The sequence below is a fragment of the Homo sapiens genome, chromosome X (assembly GCF_000001405.40).
Source record: "Homo sapiens chromosome X, GRCh38.p14 Primary Assembly".
NCBI lineage: Eukaryota > Metazoa > Chordata > Mammalia > Primates > Hominidae > Homo > Homo sapiens.
In genome coordinates, this window is record NC_000023.11 from 74,502,573 (window position 1) to 74,519,757 (window position 17,185).

Sequence of the window (17,185 nt, forward strand, 5' to 3'; positions counted from 1 at the left end):
TGGTACTTTTGAAATACTTACTTTTAACAGCTAAACATTGTAACACATATCAAGCAAATATAATGAAATAGATGGCATTCACAAGATAATTACAGGATAGATAAAGTGTACACTAGAGATCTTTTGTGAATGAGAACTCCAGCCAGATGGTCCCTCTAACCTCCTTCTCCTGCTCTTCCTGTTCCCCACAACGGACCCTGACAATTGACAATAGTAGTTGATCCAATCCATTGCCTCTCAAACCTGGCAGTGCCCTCATATTACCCACATGGTGCAGATGCAGCTAGTCAAGCATGGTCCACGGGCTGGCATTTGGGATCACCAAACAAGCTCCCTTTACATGTGTGTTAGCCTTCTGCTTGGACTGGCCAGATCTTTGGATTGCATTACTCCATAGCTACTACAACCCCTAGCACTAGGCCAAAATCCTGGCAGGTTCTTAGTGTTGATTTCAGAGCTGAGGACCAGGGTGGAAATGTGTTTGCAACCTTTCCTGTACTCCTGTTCTCTCCCCACCCTCTTCAGGACCATCACAGAGCCTCTACAAGAAGACACTCCAAGCCTTTAAGACCCTGACATTACCTTCCTTCTACCTCTACCCAAATTATATGATTTTTTCAAATCCCTCTTGTTCTAAAGGACCCTGACCTTCTCTTCAGCCACCTCACACAGACCCAATTAAAAGGAGATGGGGAGTAGACTAGGTTTCTTTTTTCTGATTTTCTTTTGACCCATACTGCTTTCTTTGCTGTCTTGTGGGCACATACATAGGTATTCAAGTGAAACAAGCCCAGACTTCAAAGTTAAGAACTTCAGGAGTGGAATTTCTCCACTCTTGGTACAGTGGGGAGTCTGGAGCAAGCTGTTTGCCTTCTTTGCACCTTCGTTACAGATCAGGCATCAAGGAATGAAGATTAACCCTTGACCTTGCTGGAAGATGGCATGTTTACCTGATCCCTGATGTTCCAATCTCATAGTGACCACAGGAGCCTGGAGCATAGTACCAAGTGTGTGAGGGCATGCCATAGATAATGCAGCTGGGAATAAGGGAAATAACGTTAGATGGAGGGTCAGAAGACCCAAAGTTAGGCCTACTTCTGGTCTTCTGGTACTAACTTGCTTCGTATCCTTGGAGAAGACATTCAAACTCTTCAGCCTCAATTTCTTTCTTTGCAAAATAGGGTACATATAGCATAATAGCTAAGAGCAAAGACCTTATTGTCAGACAGACCTGGATTGGATGCCAACTCTACCACTTACTAGCTGTGTGACCTAGTCTACTTACCAAGTCTTTCTTGGTATGTTTATTTACTTGAGGGCAAGTAAATGGAACACTAATATTATTTACTTTATGCAGTTGGTGTGAAAATTAAATGAAATAGCATAGCTAATATATGTAAAGAATTTGACACGGTGTCTGTCACATAGTAAGTGCTAAGTAAGTGTTAACTATTGTTACTACTAGTAGTACTACTACTTCTACTTCTACTATGAAGAAAAGAAATATGTGAGGAAGGACATTTGCTGCCCTATTTATCTTACACAGTTGCTGTGAAGATCTAATGAGATAAGTGCTGAAAAAGGGTTTTGGGAGATAAAAGAACTCTACAGAGGTGAGGTGAGATTGACATTAAATTACAAAGGTGTTGGGACCTTCCCCCTTACTGCCAGGTCGCTCTTGAGTCCATCGACTCTGGCTTGATCAGTGCTGGCATGAGTGGCTATTGCCTTCCCTTCCCACCCACCCATCTTGCCTCCTGGCATATTGAATTAGAGGAAGGGGTTAGAAACTTTGACCTCCAACCTTCTGCTACTCTACCACTCCCACCCCTACTACAGAGGCACCTGTCACATAAGTAGCCAGTACCCAACCCAGACCCAGAGTTCACTTTGCATTTGCCCTACTGAGGGCCTGGGACATGTGCTCTCTTCATTAGCAGCCTGGAGAAGTGTCTGTCCACATCTGCCTTCCCCAGGACTATATTTAAGTCATACAAGCCAGGTCTCTTACATTAGCTCACCTAATCCTCACAGAACAATCATTTAGTTGGTACTTTTATAAGATCCATTTTCCGGATGAGAAAACTGAGGCTTAGAGATGTGAAATAAGTTGCTCAAGGTCAAATAGAAAGTGAGGATGTAGAGCAATGGCTCACGCCTGCAGTCCCAGCATTTTGGGAGGCCAAGGTGGGCAGATGACTTGAGCTCAGGAGTTCGAGACCAGCCTGGGCAAAATGGCAGAAACCCCAACTCTACAAAAAATACAAAAATTAGCGGAGTGTAATGGCGCATCTGTAGACCCAGCCACACGGGAGGCTGAGGTGAGAAGATCACTTGAGCTTTGGAGGTTGAGGCTGCAGTGAACTGTAATCATGCCACTGCACTCCAACCCGGGTGACAGAGCAAGATCCTGTCTCAAACAAACAAACAAACACACAAAAAACACAAATAGCAGGTACATACACCTTGTTCTTAAATCCATGTCTGTCTGACTCAGAGCCTGCACATTTAGCATTATACAAACATTATAGAAAGATTAATTCAGCCCATCCCTGATAGTTTAGTGGCTAGGAAAAAAAAATTCTAAAGGAGGAAAATTCATCTATCCTAGAACCTTCCTGTAGTGACAGAGGTCCCAGCCTTATTTCAGAGAGGCTAAGGTGAGGCTTAAGGAAATTTCCCAGCTGGGAAGCAGGTTGTTAACTAGCCAACCGATGTAATATCCTCTGTCCTGAAGGGGCTTTTGATTTCCTTCCTCTGCTGTTTCCTCATTTTCCCCATCTCTCTCAGAAAACACTTAACAAAAAGGGGCAGTATCCTGGAAAAGGCATTTTAGATTGAAAAATGAGCTCTGTCCATACTTTTGCAGTTCCTCTGCCTTCTTTTCCCCTACCTCCCTTCCTTCAGACAAGTAATTCAAGGGTGCTAGGGATTGTCAGCCTATTCCTGCTCAGAGGCAGGAACATGGCCTAAGTGGTCTCTTGAGATTTCCTGCAGGCTTTCATGCTTCATGAAGTCGTAGCAGCAGGCCCCCTGACGGTGGAGCCAACATTAGTGCTTGGCTCAGCTCTGAGGATCAAAGCCATATTAATCCTGGCAGCCAGCCTTCCCTGGATTGATTACCTTGTCATCTGCCCCAGACCAACCATCCCAGGTTTCCTTCCTAATGTTAAACTACAGTGTAGGGAGAGTTGCTTCTGGTAACAGAGTGATAACCTGTCCCATTGGGGTGCCTGCTGGAAGCAGCTGCCCAAACTGGCTGCCTCTTTAGCTCAAAAGTGGCCTTAAAGCTATAAGCAGGGCCCTATTCAGTCTCAAGGGTAGGAAGAGGCTCATCATTTTGGTACTTGTTTCTTGTTTTGGCTTTACAAAGGCACTGATGCTTCCTGAAAGCTGAGCTTAGAAAATTGTTCGTCTGACTCCTGCTGCTTCTTCTCTGGTGGTGGGACAGATCAATGGAGCAGCCATGTTTCCAAGGAGGGTATAGAGATTTGCTAACCTAATAAGAAGCAGCTGGTGAGCTCTAGACATCATTGCCCAGTTCTAATTTCACACTCACTCCTTCTGACCCATGGGCTCAGGGTTCCTTTTCCTAACCTCACAGGGTTCTGGTAACCATAAGGCCTCCAACCCACCATTTAAAGGTTGCAAGGCCGAGATGCTAAAATGACAGAGAGCCAGACAGGGAAGTAGATACGGCATGGTGATGGAGGAGACCTGAGACCTTGTCCCTACCCTGCTATAAACCAAGTCTGTAGGCCTCATGTCTTCATCTGTAAACAACAGAAAGATCATTGATCGGTCTTTGCTTAATACCTCTCCATGCCTAGTGATATGGGGCAGGGAGCCTGGGAAGGGGACTGTAAAAACCTCGAGGTAAATCTAGGCTGGGAGGCACTGCCCTAGAGTTCAGGAAGGCCAAGTCCATAATGTCATTGCCTAATTGAATACTAGAAAAGCACCCCTGGAGGCAGGTGAGTTTGGCTGAGAGGTAAGTTGGGATTTACTTAATGTCTAAAGAGAGAGAGAGGTCAAAGTAAATGGTTCAGTGGGCAGAGAGAGAAAAGCAGGTCTAGGGCAGAAGGGAGATCTCAGGGACTTTCCCATGGAGCCCCAGGGGAGAGACTCAGAAAGATGAGGGCAATAGAAGGGAAGATATGACAGAACAGTCTTATCAGAGGCTTATCAGGTATCACAGTGCAGTAGAAGGAGCACAGGATTAGGACTCCAAAGATCGGGGTTTTTATCCTGGCTTAGTTAGCAATTGACTTGCTGTATGTCCTTGAGTAGTTTATGTCCTCTCTGAGCTTCAGTGTTCTCATCTGTGATATTTATTATTTATTTATTTATTTATTTATTTATTTATTTTTTTTTTTTTGAGGCAGGGTCTCGCTTTGTCACCCAGGCTGGAGTGCAGTGGTGCAATCTCAGCTCACTGCAGCCTCGATCTCCTGCTCAAGCGATCCTCCTACCTCAACACCCGCTCCCCCCCCAACCACAAGTAACTGGGACTACAGGCCCGTGCCACCACACCTGGCTAATTTTTATTTTATTTTATTTTTTTGTAGAGACGGGGTTTTGCCATGTTGCCCAGGCTGGTCTTGAACTCCTGAGCTCAAGCCATCTGCCTGTCTCAGCCTCCAAAAGTGTTAGGATTACAGGCATGAGCAACCGCGCCCAGCCTCATCTGTGATTTTTTTTATTTTTGTTTTTTCAAAGCTTTATTGAGGAATAATTTACAAATAGTAAACCGCATATATTTCAAGTGTATAATTTGACGCATTTTTACATATGTAGATATGCAGGAAACCAAGAATGTGGAGAAAAGGGAACACTTATACACTGTTGGTGGAAATGTAAATTAGTTCAGTCACTGTGGAAAGCAGTTTGCAGATTTCTCAAAGAATGTAAGACAGAACTACCATTCAATCCAGCAACCCTGCTACTGAGTATCTACTCAAAGGAAAATAAATCATTATACAAAAATGATACCTGCACTCATATGTTTATTACAGCAATATTCACAATAGCAAAGTTTACAATATTCACAATAGCAAAGTCATGGAATCAACCTAGGTGTCCATCAGTAGATGATTGGATAAAGGAAATGTGGCATATTTATACCACAGAATACTACTCAAGCATAAAAAAGAATGAAATCATGTCTTTTGCAGCAACATGGATAGAACTGGAGGCCATTATCTTCAGTGAAATAAGTTAGCACAGAAAGTCAAATACCAAATGACAGGATTTCATTCTTTTTGATGGCCAAATGGTATTCCCTTGTGTATATATACTACATTTTCTTTATCCATTTATCTGTTGATGAACACTTAGGTTGATTCAATATCTTGGCCGTTGTGAATAGTACTGCAATAAACATGGCAGTACACTTAATTCTTTGACATACTGATTTTCTTTCCTTTGGATAAATATCTAGCAGTGGGATTGCTGGGTCATATAGTAGTTCTATTTTTAGTTTTTTGAGAAATCACCACACTGTTTTCCATAATGGCTGTACTAATTTACATTCCTACCAACAGTGTAATTTTATAGTAAGTCTTGAAACGAGATAATATAAGTATTCTAACTTTATTCCTTGTCAAAATTATTTTCTCAATTCTATGTTCTTTTCCTTTACACTTAAATTTGAGAATCAACTTGCAAAATTCTATCAAAAAAACCTCGCTGGGATGTTAATTAGGGTTGCATTGTATCTACAGAACAATTGGAGAGAATTGACATCTGACCCATGAACAATATATATCCCTCCATTTATTTGTCTTCTTTAATTTCTCTTAGCAACTTTTTGTAATTTTCAATATAGAGGTCTGACATGTTTTAAATCAAATTTATCCATAAGTATTACAAATTTTTGATGACATTGCAAATGGTATTTTTATTCGATGTTTAATTATCCATTGCTAGTATATATAAATACAATTTGTTTTTGTATATTGACTTTGTATATTCTGAGATCTTGCTTAGCTTATTTGTTAGTTCTAGTAGCTTTTTTTGTAGAGTCCTTTGATTTTTCTAGGTAAATTATAATGTTGTCTGTAAATAAAGACGGTTTTACTTCTTCATTTCCTACCTGTGTGTCTTCTATTTCTTTTTGCTGTCTTGTTTGTTCGTTTTTAACTTTTATTTTAGGTTTGGGGGTACATGTGAAGATATGTTACATAGGTAAACATGTGTCACGGGGGTTTGTTGTACATATTATTTTATCACCCAGGTATTAAGCCCAGTACCCAGTAAATATCTTTTCTGCTACTCTCCCTCTTCCCACCCTCCCACGTCTTCTTACTGTCTTATTGCATTAGCTAGAACCTCCAATGGAATGTTAAATAGAATTAGTGAGAGCAGACATCCTTTTTGTATCCTTTTTGTTTGTTTGTTTGTTTGTTTGAGACAGGGTCTCACTCTGTTGCCCAGGCTGGAGTGCAGTGGTGCGATCACACTCACTGTAGCCTCCACCTCCCCAGGCTCAGGTGATCCTACTGACTCAGCCTCTTGAGTAGCTGGAACTCCAGGTGCGTGCCACCAGGCCTAGCTAATTTTTGTATTTTTTGTAGAGAGTGGGGTCTCACTATGTTGCCCAGGCTGGTCTTGAACTCCTGGACTCAAGTGGTCCACCCGCCTCGGCCTCCCAAATTGCTGGGATTAGAGGTGTGACCCACTGCACCTGGCACCCTATTCCTAACCGTAGTGTGGAACCATTCAGTCTTTCACAAGATGATGTTAGCTATAGGCTTTTCATGGTTGCCCTCTATCAGGTTGTGAAAGTTCCCTTGTATTTCTGGTTTGCTAAGAGTTTTTTTAAAATTTTGAATGGATACTGGATTTTGTCAAATGCTTTTTCTGCATTGGTTGAGATGATTATATATACATTTTTAATTTTAAGTCTGGTATAACTGCATATTGCATTGATCGATTTTTGAATGTTGAACTAACCTTGCATTTCCAGGATAAATCACACTTGATCATGATGTTTTTTCCCCTTTTTTTTGAGATGGAGTCTCACTCTGTTGCCCAGGCTGGAGTGCAGCGGCGCAATCTCGGCTCACTGCAACCTCCACCTCCTGGGTTCAAGCGATTCTCCTTCCTCAGCCTCCCGAGTAGCTGGGACTACAGGCACGTGCCACCACGCCCGGCTAATTTTTTTGTATTTTTTTAGTAGAGACAGAATTTCACCATGTTGGCCACGCTGGCTTGAACTCCTGACCTCAAGTGATCCACCCACCTCGACCACCCAAAGTGCTGGGATTACAGGCGTGGGCCACCGCTCCCAGCCTATCCTTTTTAGATATTGTGGGATTCAATTTGCTAAAATGTTAAGAGTTTGAAACTGTGTTCAGGATGGATCTTCATCTGTCATTTTCTTTTCTTGTGATGTTTTTTATCTGGTTTTGGTGTCAGGGTAATACTGGCCTTATAGAATGAGCTGAGAAGTGTTTCCTCCAATTTTTTGGAAGAGTTTGTGTAGAACTGGTATTATCTCTTCCTTAAATGTTTGGAATTCACAATTGAAGCCAACTTGGTCAGCCCCTCTATGATTCATATGGGCCCTTTCATTTTTAACATCTTGCAGTTCTAATAAGACCCTGTCATCAATCTTTTTATGTTAGATATGTGTGTCTCTTCTCTGTCTCCTTATTTCTTGTCTGTCTTTGCCTTTGGCCTGTTTCCCATACTTTCCATTAGGTGAATGTCTGACAATCTGAGTCTGTAGGTGCTGGGCCAGCCTTCTCAGAGAAAGATGAGGAAACTGTTTCAAGTCATAGTTTCTCCCAACACTGGTGTGTTTTAGTAAAAAAAAAAAACAAAACAAAACACCTGTAATCTGCCTTAGCTACTAAAGTAGATAACTGACCATTGTCCAAAACCAGTGGGTTCAAATCAGTGGCCATAGGCCATTAAGTAGAGCCCAGTTACCCTTGAAGGACTGGGACAAGAGTTAAAATGTCTCATTTTCAGACTTGGCATGGGCACTCTTAAGTGTAGGTCTCTCTGTTTGACTCTGTCTCAGTTTGACTCTCTGTAAAATTAGTAACTGAACCCCTAAATCTTCTAACTCCAAAACTGAAAGTAAATAAACAATAGCTGCAGAGGGAAGCAGGCCAAATAACCTAATATGGAGGTAATAAGACAACTTATATTTTCAGTGAATATTTGACTTTAAAACCTTTGAAACTTGGGCTGGGCATAGTGGCTCATACCTGTAATCTCAGAGCTTTGGGAGGCTAAGGAGGGAGGACGGCTTGACACCAGGAGTTTGAGACCAGCCTAGGCAACATAGCAAGATCCCATCGCTTCAAAAACTTAAAAAAAAAAAAAAAATAGCCGGGTGTGGTGGTGCATTGGTGCGTGCCTGTAGTACTAGCTACCCTCAGGAGACTGAGGTGGGATGATAGCTTAAGCATGGGAGCTTGAGGCTGCAGTGAGCCATGATTGTGCCACTGCACTCCAGCCTGGGTGACAGAGCAAGACCCTGTCTCTAAAAAGAAAACAAAGTTTTGAAATTCAAATTAGGTAGCCCACGAAAATTGGCATGTCTTGAGACAAAATGTGGAGAGATAAAAATGAGATTCGTGGTTTTTTTTATTTTATTTATTTTATTTTTTTTTGAGACGGAGTCTCGCTCTGTCGCCCAGGCTGGAGTGCAGTGGCCCGATCTCGGCTCACTGAAAGCTCCGCCTCCCAGGTTCGCGCCATTCTCCTGCCTCAGCCTCCTGAGTAGCTGGGACTATAGGCACCCGCCACCGTGCCCGGCTAATTTTTTGTATTTTTAGAAGAGACGGGATTTCACCGTGTTAGCTATGATGGTCTCTATCTCCTGACTTCGTGATCCTCACGCCTCGGCCTCCCAAAGTGCTGGGATTACAGGCGTGAGCCACCGCACCCGGCCGCGATTTGTTTAGATATGGAATGCTTGGAAAGTAATGTTTCCTAGTATTGCTGTGCCACCCCCAGAAAAACACCATCACATTATAATGAAGAAAAAAGTAAGATACTGAGAGGACCCAATGCCAGGACAAATATGAAAGTACTTTTGGACTTTTAAAATAAAGATTTGCTAGAAATATGAAGTAGAATTCTAGACACAATGGATGGATGGTGAGTAGCTACCAAAGTAAATGGGCTTAGAGTGTCTGAGTGCTGGAAGAAAGAGCTTTTCAACACAGTGTTTGTCAGAAAATGGAAAAAGGTTTGAAAGAAGCTTCTCTGAGCAAGAGTGTTTCATCTATTCACTGGACAGACAGTTATGTAGCACTTAACTCTGGGCCCTGCACAAGGCCAGGGAAATAATTAATAAATGACGCTCAGCTGGAGGTCACTCTTCTGGTGAGCCGCAGAGATAAGGGCTCCTGTTATCTCAGTCCCCAAAGAAGAACAGAGTCTTGCATTTCTTCCCTCTGGAGCTCCCCAGCTGACCCCTGAAGTGCCTTCACCTACATCCTCCTTTTAAATATGTTTCACCAATTCTTTCAGTCATCTCACTAATGCGTGCCCACCACCTGGCTGGATGTGCCGGCATAAGTCATCACAGTCCTAAGCTGCCTGCTACCTACCACACACTGTCCCCATGCCAAACCAATACCATTCCAACTATCCCATTTATTCAAACTAGATGTAGACACATCACCATGTTCTGGGAACTCTGAAGAGGTGTGGTGATGGGGCAGAAGCAAGTGAATATTTCCGGCAACACAGAATCCAATTCATGGTGCCATTCTCTCCACTTAGCACTGGGTATAGCAGTTGGATAGCTTAGCCTTAGAACCTGTCCTCTTAATCCTATTTGCTATTCTCTCACTGTACTGTGCATCTTGTCAGGAAGTAGGGGCTCTTGAATAGAGCCATCTCTGCCCCTGTGTCAGCCACCTTATCTCTCTTCCTATCTACCCTTGACCTATCTTTGACCTTTATTTGACTTTGCACCGTCATTCCCTCATTTGAGCTTTTGTTAGTTCCCCACAATAAAAGGAATTTATGAAAGCTTGTGATGTATTTGGAGAGTTTGGCTCTTGGAGTACCCCCTCTCTCTCTTTCAACTCAGAGAGGTTGGCTTTCAGCAGCCAAGGAGTGAGGAATCTGGTCTCACACTTGAATTATTTTCTGAGCAGTCTCCTGTACTTCAAAGACATTAGCCTGAGTGCCTGGGTAAGGAGCCAAGGCACTAATTGAGTATTTGAGTAAAAAGACTTTGAGGATGAGGAAGCTTGAGGGCCAACAGATCCAGGATGGTGCTGGAAAAGCCAGAGTTCTGGTGTTGTGCTGCCCAGGTCCAACAGAAATCTAGTTAGATATGGGTGCTTTGAGGAGGAAAGTAGGGGTGCCTGCTGAATACAGACATATGTTCACTTAGGTACAGGCCTTTTGGGGCCAAGTCTCACTCCATGATACCATAGGAGAGGGGTAGGCCTTGTTACCGCTGAGAGGGGAAGGTTAAGGTTGAAAATAACTCTGGGAACCACTGAGGAAAAGTGTGAATGGTATAATAATTATACCATTGAATTATATGAATTATAATAGTTCATCCTCAAAATCCAAGGATCTGTTGAACACAAAATTTATTAGTCAGGAATCAGATACTTGCTCAGCACTTATGCACTGTGGATTGAAAATAATGCTTTCTCCCTGATGGAATGTTACAAGGTTCCACCTCTGATTTTTCCAAGTCTGTTTAGAAAGATAGGTCTGTACATTGCCTGTTAAAATCCACCCAACTCTCCCACGAATCTCAGCTGCTTCACTGAAATCTCTTTCTTTGTCTTCCCCATATAAGAGCAGGGGTAATTATGGGGAATGAAAGAAACTCCTAGCTTTGAGTCCAAGAATTGTTAGAATTCTAGAAAACCTCTACCTACTCTTTGCATTTTCCAAAATGGGAAACTGAATATAAGAAAGGTAAAGGATAACCAGTAACACCCAATAACACCTATCTATTATCAATAAGGTTATAATTGTCACCATAATTGTTATCATGACTATTATTTCTTCTTTTTTAATACAGTCATTGCTTGATTATTTTTCTCTTACTAAAATTTTTTGATAACCTATCCCACTAACAGTCCCTTAAGTCACTTCTCTTATATAACGCTATTCTTCTTCAGTCACAATCTAGCTATTAGATTACCTTTCTCTCCCTTTATAGAAAATTTTCTCTCACTTGGAGTTTCTGACTTCTCTGAAAATCTTTAAATAGAAAATTTTATTCTGGCCTTGAACCATGAGGTTCATAAATTTTATTGCCCTACTTAAAAAAACAATGTGTTCCCTACTCCACTGTGAGATCCTTGAAGTCAAATACCATATGTCACTCATTTAACATCTTGAATGCCTATGGGATAGACATGTGTCTGGGCCAGAGAGAATGTTAAATAATTGTTGAATAAATTAATATAACATGTGAATTACTTCATTTTTAAAAATATACATTTAGTATTAAAAACTATATTAAGGCACTTTTCTCTATACTTCCAATGCAGTACAGCTAAAAATGCTGGACATTATATCTAAAACAAATGTAGCAAGATTGAAAAGTGGAGAGAAGAAGGCACATGGGCTAGGAAAGTTGGGATCTAAGAAAAAACGTAACAGAAAACCTGAGTTTTCTTTTTGCTTCACATATCTTAGACCTGGAGCTGAAGAAGCCAGCAACCAAGAAATGCCAATGGAAGCAGACCAAAAAAAAAAAAAAGCTTGATTTGTCTAGCCAAAAGACGGGAAAAGGGGCAGCCTAGCAAAACAAAAAAGCTTTAAACAATAATCCCTCTACTCCAGCCTAACACCATGGGAAAAAATGCACCCCACTTGACCTTTGCCAACAAAGGCCTACTGGGGAGCCAAGACTTCTACACTCACCCAGCTGTAACAAGGTGCTCCAACCTCCCCGCCTCCCATGCTGAGGTGGTGTCAGAGAAAACAGTAGGAAGCCAGGAATTTCTTCCCCTCTCAGCAGTAACAAGGCCTACCCCTCCCCCATGGTGTCAGTAGAGACCACATAGGGAGCCTGGACTTTCACTCTTGCCCGGGTATAACCTCCAACCACCTCTCCTACTCCTGGCAAGGTGCCAAGGTGGTGTCAGTGAAAGCCAAGTAGGAAACTGGGACTTTCACCATCACTTACTGAGGTAAGACCACATGGGAAACAGTAACAAGGAACCCCTACTCCTCCCAACCAGGAAGATATAAAAAGAAGCCTAGTAGGGATCTTGAATACCCACCCCTGCTCAGCAATAACAAGGTACCCTTCCTTCTTAGAGTGTCAATAGAAGCTAAGCAGGGAACCTGGATTTCCACCCCCATTTGGTAGTAATGAAGTTGTCCCTCAATGGCACAGTATCAGAAGAGGCCTTCTAAAACACAAGATTTAAATAAGATCCAGAGTCTCATATCTAAAATTTCCAGAATACCATAGAAAATCACGAATCACACCAAGGACCAGGGAAATCTTGACTTCAACAAGAAAAGACTATCAACTGACACTAACATGAAGATAACACAGAAATTGAATTATTTGGCAAGGATTTTAAAGCAGCCAACAAAAAATGCTTTAACAAATCATTGCAATCACACTTGGAACAAATGAAAAAAATACTAAGTCTCAGTAGATAATTAGAAGATATAAAGATGAAATAAATGGAAAATTTTGGAGCTGAAAAATATATAACCAAAATAAAATAAGCCCACTGGATGGGCCCCACAGCAGATGAGAGAAGACAGAAGAAGGAATCAGTGAACTTGAAGGCAGAACAATAATAATTATCCAATCTGGACCACAGAGAGAAAATAGATTGAAAAAAATGGAAAGAGCCTCAGATGCCTGTGAGGTTATAACAAAATATTTAACATTTCTGTCATCAGAGGAGTCCCAGAAGAGGAAAAAGGCAGGGCTGAAGAGATACTTGAAGCAATAATTGCTGAAAACTTCCCAACTCTGGTAAAAACATAAGTCTGTAGATTTAAGAAACTGAGCAAATCCCAAAGAGAATAAACTCAAAGAACTCTATGCCAAGACACATCATAGTCAAACTTTCAAAAGCTAAACACACAGACATGCACGTGCATGCACACACACACACACACACACATCTTGAAAACAGTAAGAGAGAAATGACACGTTAACTCTAGGGGAAAAACAATTAAAATGACAGAAGATTTCTCATCAGAAACCATGGAGGGCAAAGTGCTGAAATAAAAGCTCTCTTAGCTCAGAATTGTATATCCAGTGAAAATATCCTTCAGGAATGAATGAGGAAATCAATACATTCTCAAACGAAGGAAAACTAAGAGAATTTGTCCCCAACAGACCTACCCTAAAAGAATAGCTAAAGGAAATTATTTAACCAGAAAAGAAACAATAGAAGAAGGAATCTTGGAACATCAGAAAGAAAGAACAGTGGAAAAAGTAAAATTATACATAAATGTGACAGATATTATAATATAATTGATTTAGATTTCTTCTCCTTTTGTGTTTTTTTTTCTTTCTTTTTTTTGGAGAGAGGCTCTCACTGTGTCACCCAGGCTGGAGTGCAGTGGCACAATCATGGCTCACTGCAGCAGCCTCAACCTCCTGGGCTCAGGTGATCCTCCCACCTCAGCCTCCTGAGTAGCTGGGACTATGGGTGTGCACCACCATGCCCAGCTGATTTTTTGTAGAGATGGAGTTTTGCCACATTACACATGCTGGTCTCAAACTCCTAGACTCAAGTGATCTGCCCACGTTGGCCTCCCAAAGTGCTGAGATTACAGGCATGAGCCATAGTGCCTGGTCCCTTTTGTGTTTTGTAAATTAGGTTTAACAGTTGAAGAAAAATTATAATAATGCCTAATGTGGTTATTAATAGATGTAGAGGAAATATTTAAGATAATTTTATTATAAATGAGGGAGGGTGAGGAGATATAAGGGAGGTTAGGTTTCTACACTCCTCTCCAACTAGTAACATGTCGACACCAATGATGTTGTATACATATGATGTGATACCATTATATATATATAATGTGATTTCTTTGAGTACATTTTTCAGTGGCCACTAAAAAAGGTATACAAAGGAACACACTTTAAAGCACAATAAATAAAGTGGAATTCTAAAAACTTTTAAAGTAACCCATAGGCAGGCAGGATAAAAGAATACAGAGAAACTAAAAACAGAAAACAAACAGGAAACAAAAATAAAATTGCCCTAATGTATCAATGATTACATCAAATGTAAACGATCTAAATATATCAGTTCAAAGACAGAGATTGGCAGAGTGGATAGAAAAAAAAATCATGACCCAGCTATATGCTGTCTATAAGAAACTCACTTCAAATATGTATTTCCAGGGAATTATGCTGGGTAAAAAAAAGTCAATTTCAAAAGGCCACATACTGTATGACTCCATTTATATAACTTTCTTCAAATTTGTGATTGCTAGGAGTTATGGGTCGTGGGGGAGTGGGCTGAGTGTGACTGTAACACAAAGGAGATCTTTGTGGTGATGGAATAGTTCTGTATCTTGATCACAATGGTGGTTTCAGGAATCTACCCATGATAAAATGATACAGAACTATATGCACATATTGTGCCACTCCTAATTTTCTGGTTTTGATATCATGTTATAGTTACATAAGGGGAAACTTGGTGAAGAGTTCATGGGACCTCTCTGGACTATCTTGGCTATTTCCTGTGAATCTATAGTTATTTCACAATTAAAAATTTTTTTTTAAATGAAATAGATTAATTTTTAAAAGCTATATCAAACATAATTTAAAGTTTCTTTGACTGTACAAAAAATTCCTTATAAGAATAATCATCAGTTTTCATTATATCATAGACATTCAGAAGGGTCAAATAATGGTCAGTTCTAGTTATAAAATGTCAGTAAGATGATTTGCTAAATTTAATTATTTTTTTTCTCTTTGACAATACAACTGAGCTACTTTTTTACTCTGGCCAGAATAAAGATACATATATCATAAATGAGATCTTGAACTGGCACTTTCTGCTTTCCCGCCTTCTCCCCACCTTTAAAAATAACATCAGATTTATTGAGATATAATTACATATGGTAATATTCACCCTTTTTTACATGCTCAGTTCTATGAATTTTGACAAAAGAATACCACCATCATCAAGATATGTAACATATAAAGCTTAGAAAAGAGAGACTCAAGATGAAACTTGATAACATTTTCATTACCCCCAAAAAGTTTCTTCATGTCCCTCTGTAGTCAATTGTCTCCCTCATCCCTCCTCCTGCCACCTACTGATTTGTTTTCCTGTCCCCATAGTTTTGTCTTTTCTCGAATTTCCTGTAAGTGGAAGGAATAATTTGAGTCTGGCTTCGTTTACTTAGCATAACGCCTTTGAGATTGTTCAAGTTTCAGTAGTTCATTCCTGTCTATTGCTGTGTTGTATTCCATTGTATTAATGTGTATTCATTTGTTTATCCATTCACCAGTTGAAGTACATTTGGGTTGTTTCCAGATTTGCACAATTATGAAAAAAAAAGCTAGTGTAATCATCTAGGTTCAGGTTTTTGTGTGAACATAAGTTTTCATTCATCTTGAGTTAATATCTAGCAGTGGGTTTTCGGGATCATGGTAAATGTATGACTAACTTCACAGGAGGCTGCCAAACTGTTTTCCAAAGTGAGTACTGTTTTGCATTGCCACCAGCAGCGTATTACATTTCCAGTTCCTCCATATCCTCCCAGTATTAGGTATTATCATTTTGTAAAAACCTTTCTTTGCTGGGCACCATTGCTCACGCCTATAATCCCAGCACTTTGGGAGACTGAGGCAGGTGGATCATTTGAGGCCGGGAGTTTGAGACCAGCCTGGCCATCGTGGTGAAACCCCATCTCTACTAGAAATACAAAAAATTAGGCATGGTGGCGTGCGCCTGTAATCCCAGCTACCCGGGAGGCTGAGGCACAAGAGTTGCTTGAACCCGGGAGGCAGAGGTGGCAGTGAACCAAGATTGCGCCTCTGCACTTCAGCCTGGAGACAGAATGAAACTCTGTCTCAAGAAAAAAAAAAAAGAAAAAGAAAAGAAAAAAGGCTTTCTTGGTAAGGGCTATCTCATTGTGGTTTTAATATGCGTTTCTCAACTTATTAGTGATGTTGAGCATCTTTTTATATGCTTAATTACTATTCATATCATAAATGTATGTGCACATGTGTAATTGTGTAATCTCTGTTCAATTCTTTTGCCCATATTTTAAGTTAGATTGTTTGCTTTATTATTGAGTTATGAGAGTCAACTCACTCTTGTATGGTGGATACCGGTCTATTGTCAGATTTTGTGTGCTGCAAAATTTTTCTGTCTATGGCTTGCCTTTTCATTTTCATAACTATTTTTGAAAAGCAGAAGTTTTCAAGTTTGATCAAGTCTAATATATCAAATCTTTTCTTTTATGGATCATACGATTTGTGAATATCTGCAAAATCTTTGCCTAACCAAAGGCCAGGAAGATTTGTCTCCTATATGTTCTTCTAGAAGTTTTATAGTTTTAAGTTTTACATTAAGTCTATGATCCATTTTGCATTGATTTTTAAACATGATGTGATTATTGATATTTACAAAGTTCTCTTCTTATACATATAATTTTATCTGATTTTTTTTTTTTCTTTAGATGGAGTCTCACTCTGTCACCCAGCCTGGAGCGCAGTGGTGAGATCTCGGCTCACTGCAAGCTCCGCCTCTTGGGTTCAAGCGATTCTCCTGCCTCAGCCTCGCTAGTAGCTGGAACTACAGGCGCCCGCCCCCACACCCAGCTAATTTTTTGTATTTTGAGTAGAGACGGGGTTTCACTGTGTTAGCCAGGATGGTCTCTATCTCCTGACCTCGTGATCTGCCTGCCCTGGCCTCCCAAAGTGCTGGGATTACAGGCGTGAGCCACCACGCCTGGCCCTGATCATCAGCGGATCACAAGGTCAGGAGATCGAGACCATCCTGGCTAACACAGTGAAACCCCGTCTCTACTAAAAACACACAAAAAAATTAGCCGGGCGTGGTGGCAGGCACCTGTAGTCCCAGCTACTCAGGAGGCTGAGGCAGGAGAATGGTGTGAACCCAGGAGGCGGAGCTTGCAGTGAGGCAAGATCGGGCCATTGCATTCCAGCCTGGGTGACAAAGCAAGACTGTGTCTCAAAAAAAAAAAAAAACAAAAAAAAAACGAAAGAAAGAAAAAG

At 40.9% G+C, this 17,185-nt stretch overlaps 1 protein-coding gene across 1 annotated transcript in view, besides 1 other annotated feature; it reads left to right on the forward strand.

Annotated features, from left to right (window-relative positions):
* Positions 1-17,185, forward strand: part of SLC16A2 (solute carrier family 16 member 2) — a 112,424-nt gene that overhangs the window by 81,080 nt on the left and 14,159 nt on the right. The window lies entirely within an intron of this gene.
* Positions 8,149-8,198: an enhancer, noted in NCBI's record as "active region_29766". NCBI's record gives its function as "activates an Ori minimal core promoter by ATAC-STARR-seq in GM12878 lymphoblastoid cells {active_cell/tissue: GM12878}" and the evidence as "EXISTENCE:reporter gene assay evidence [ECO:0000049][PMID:35858748]".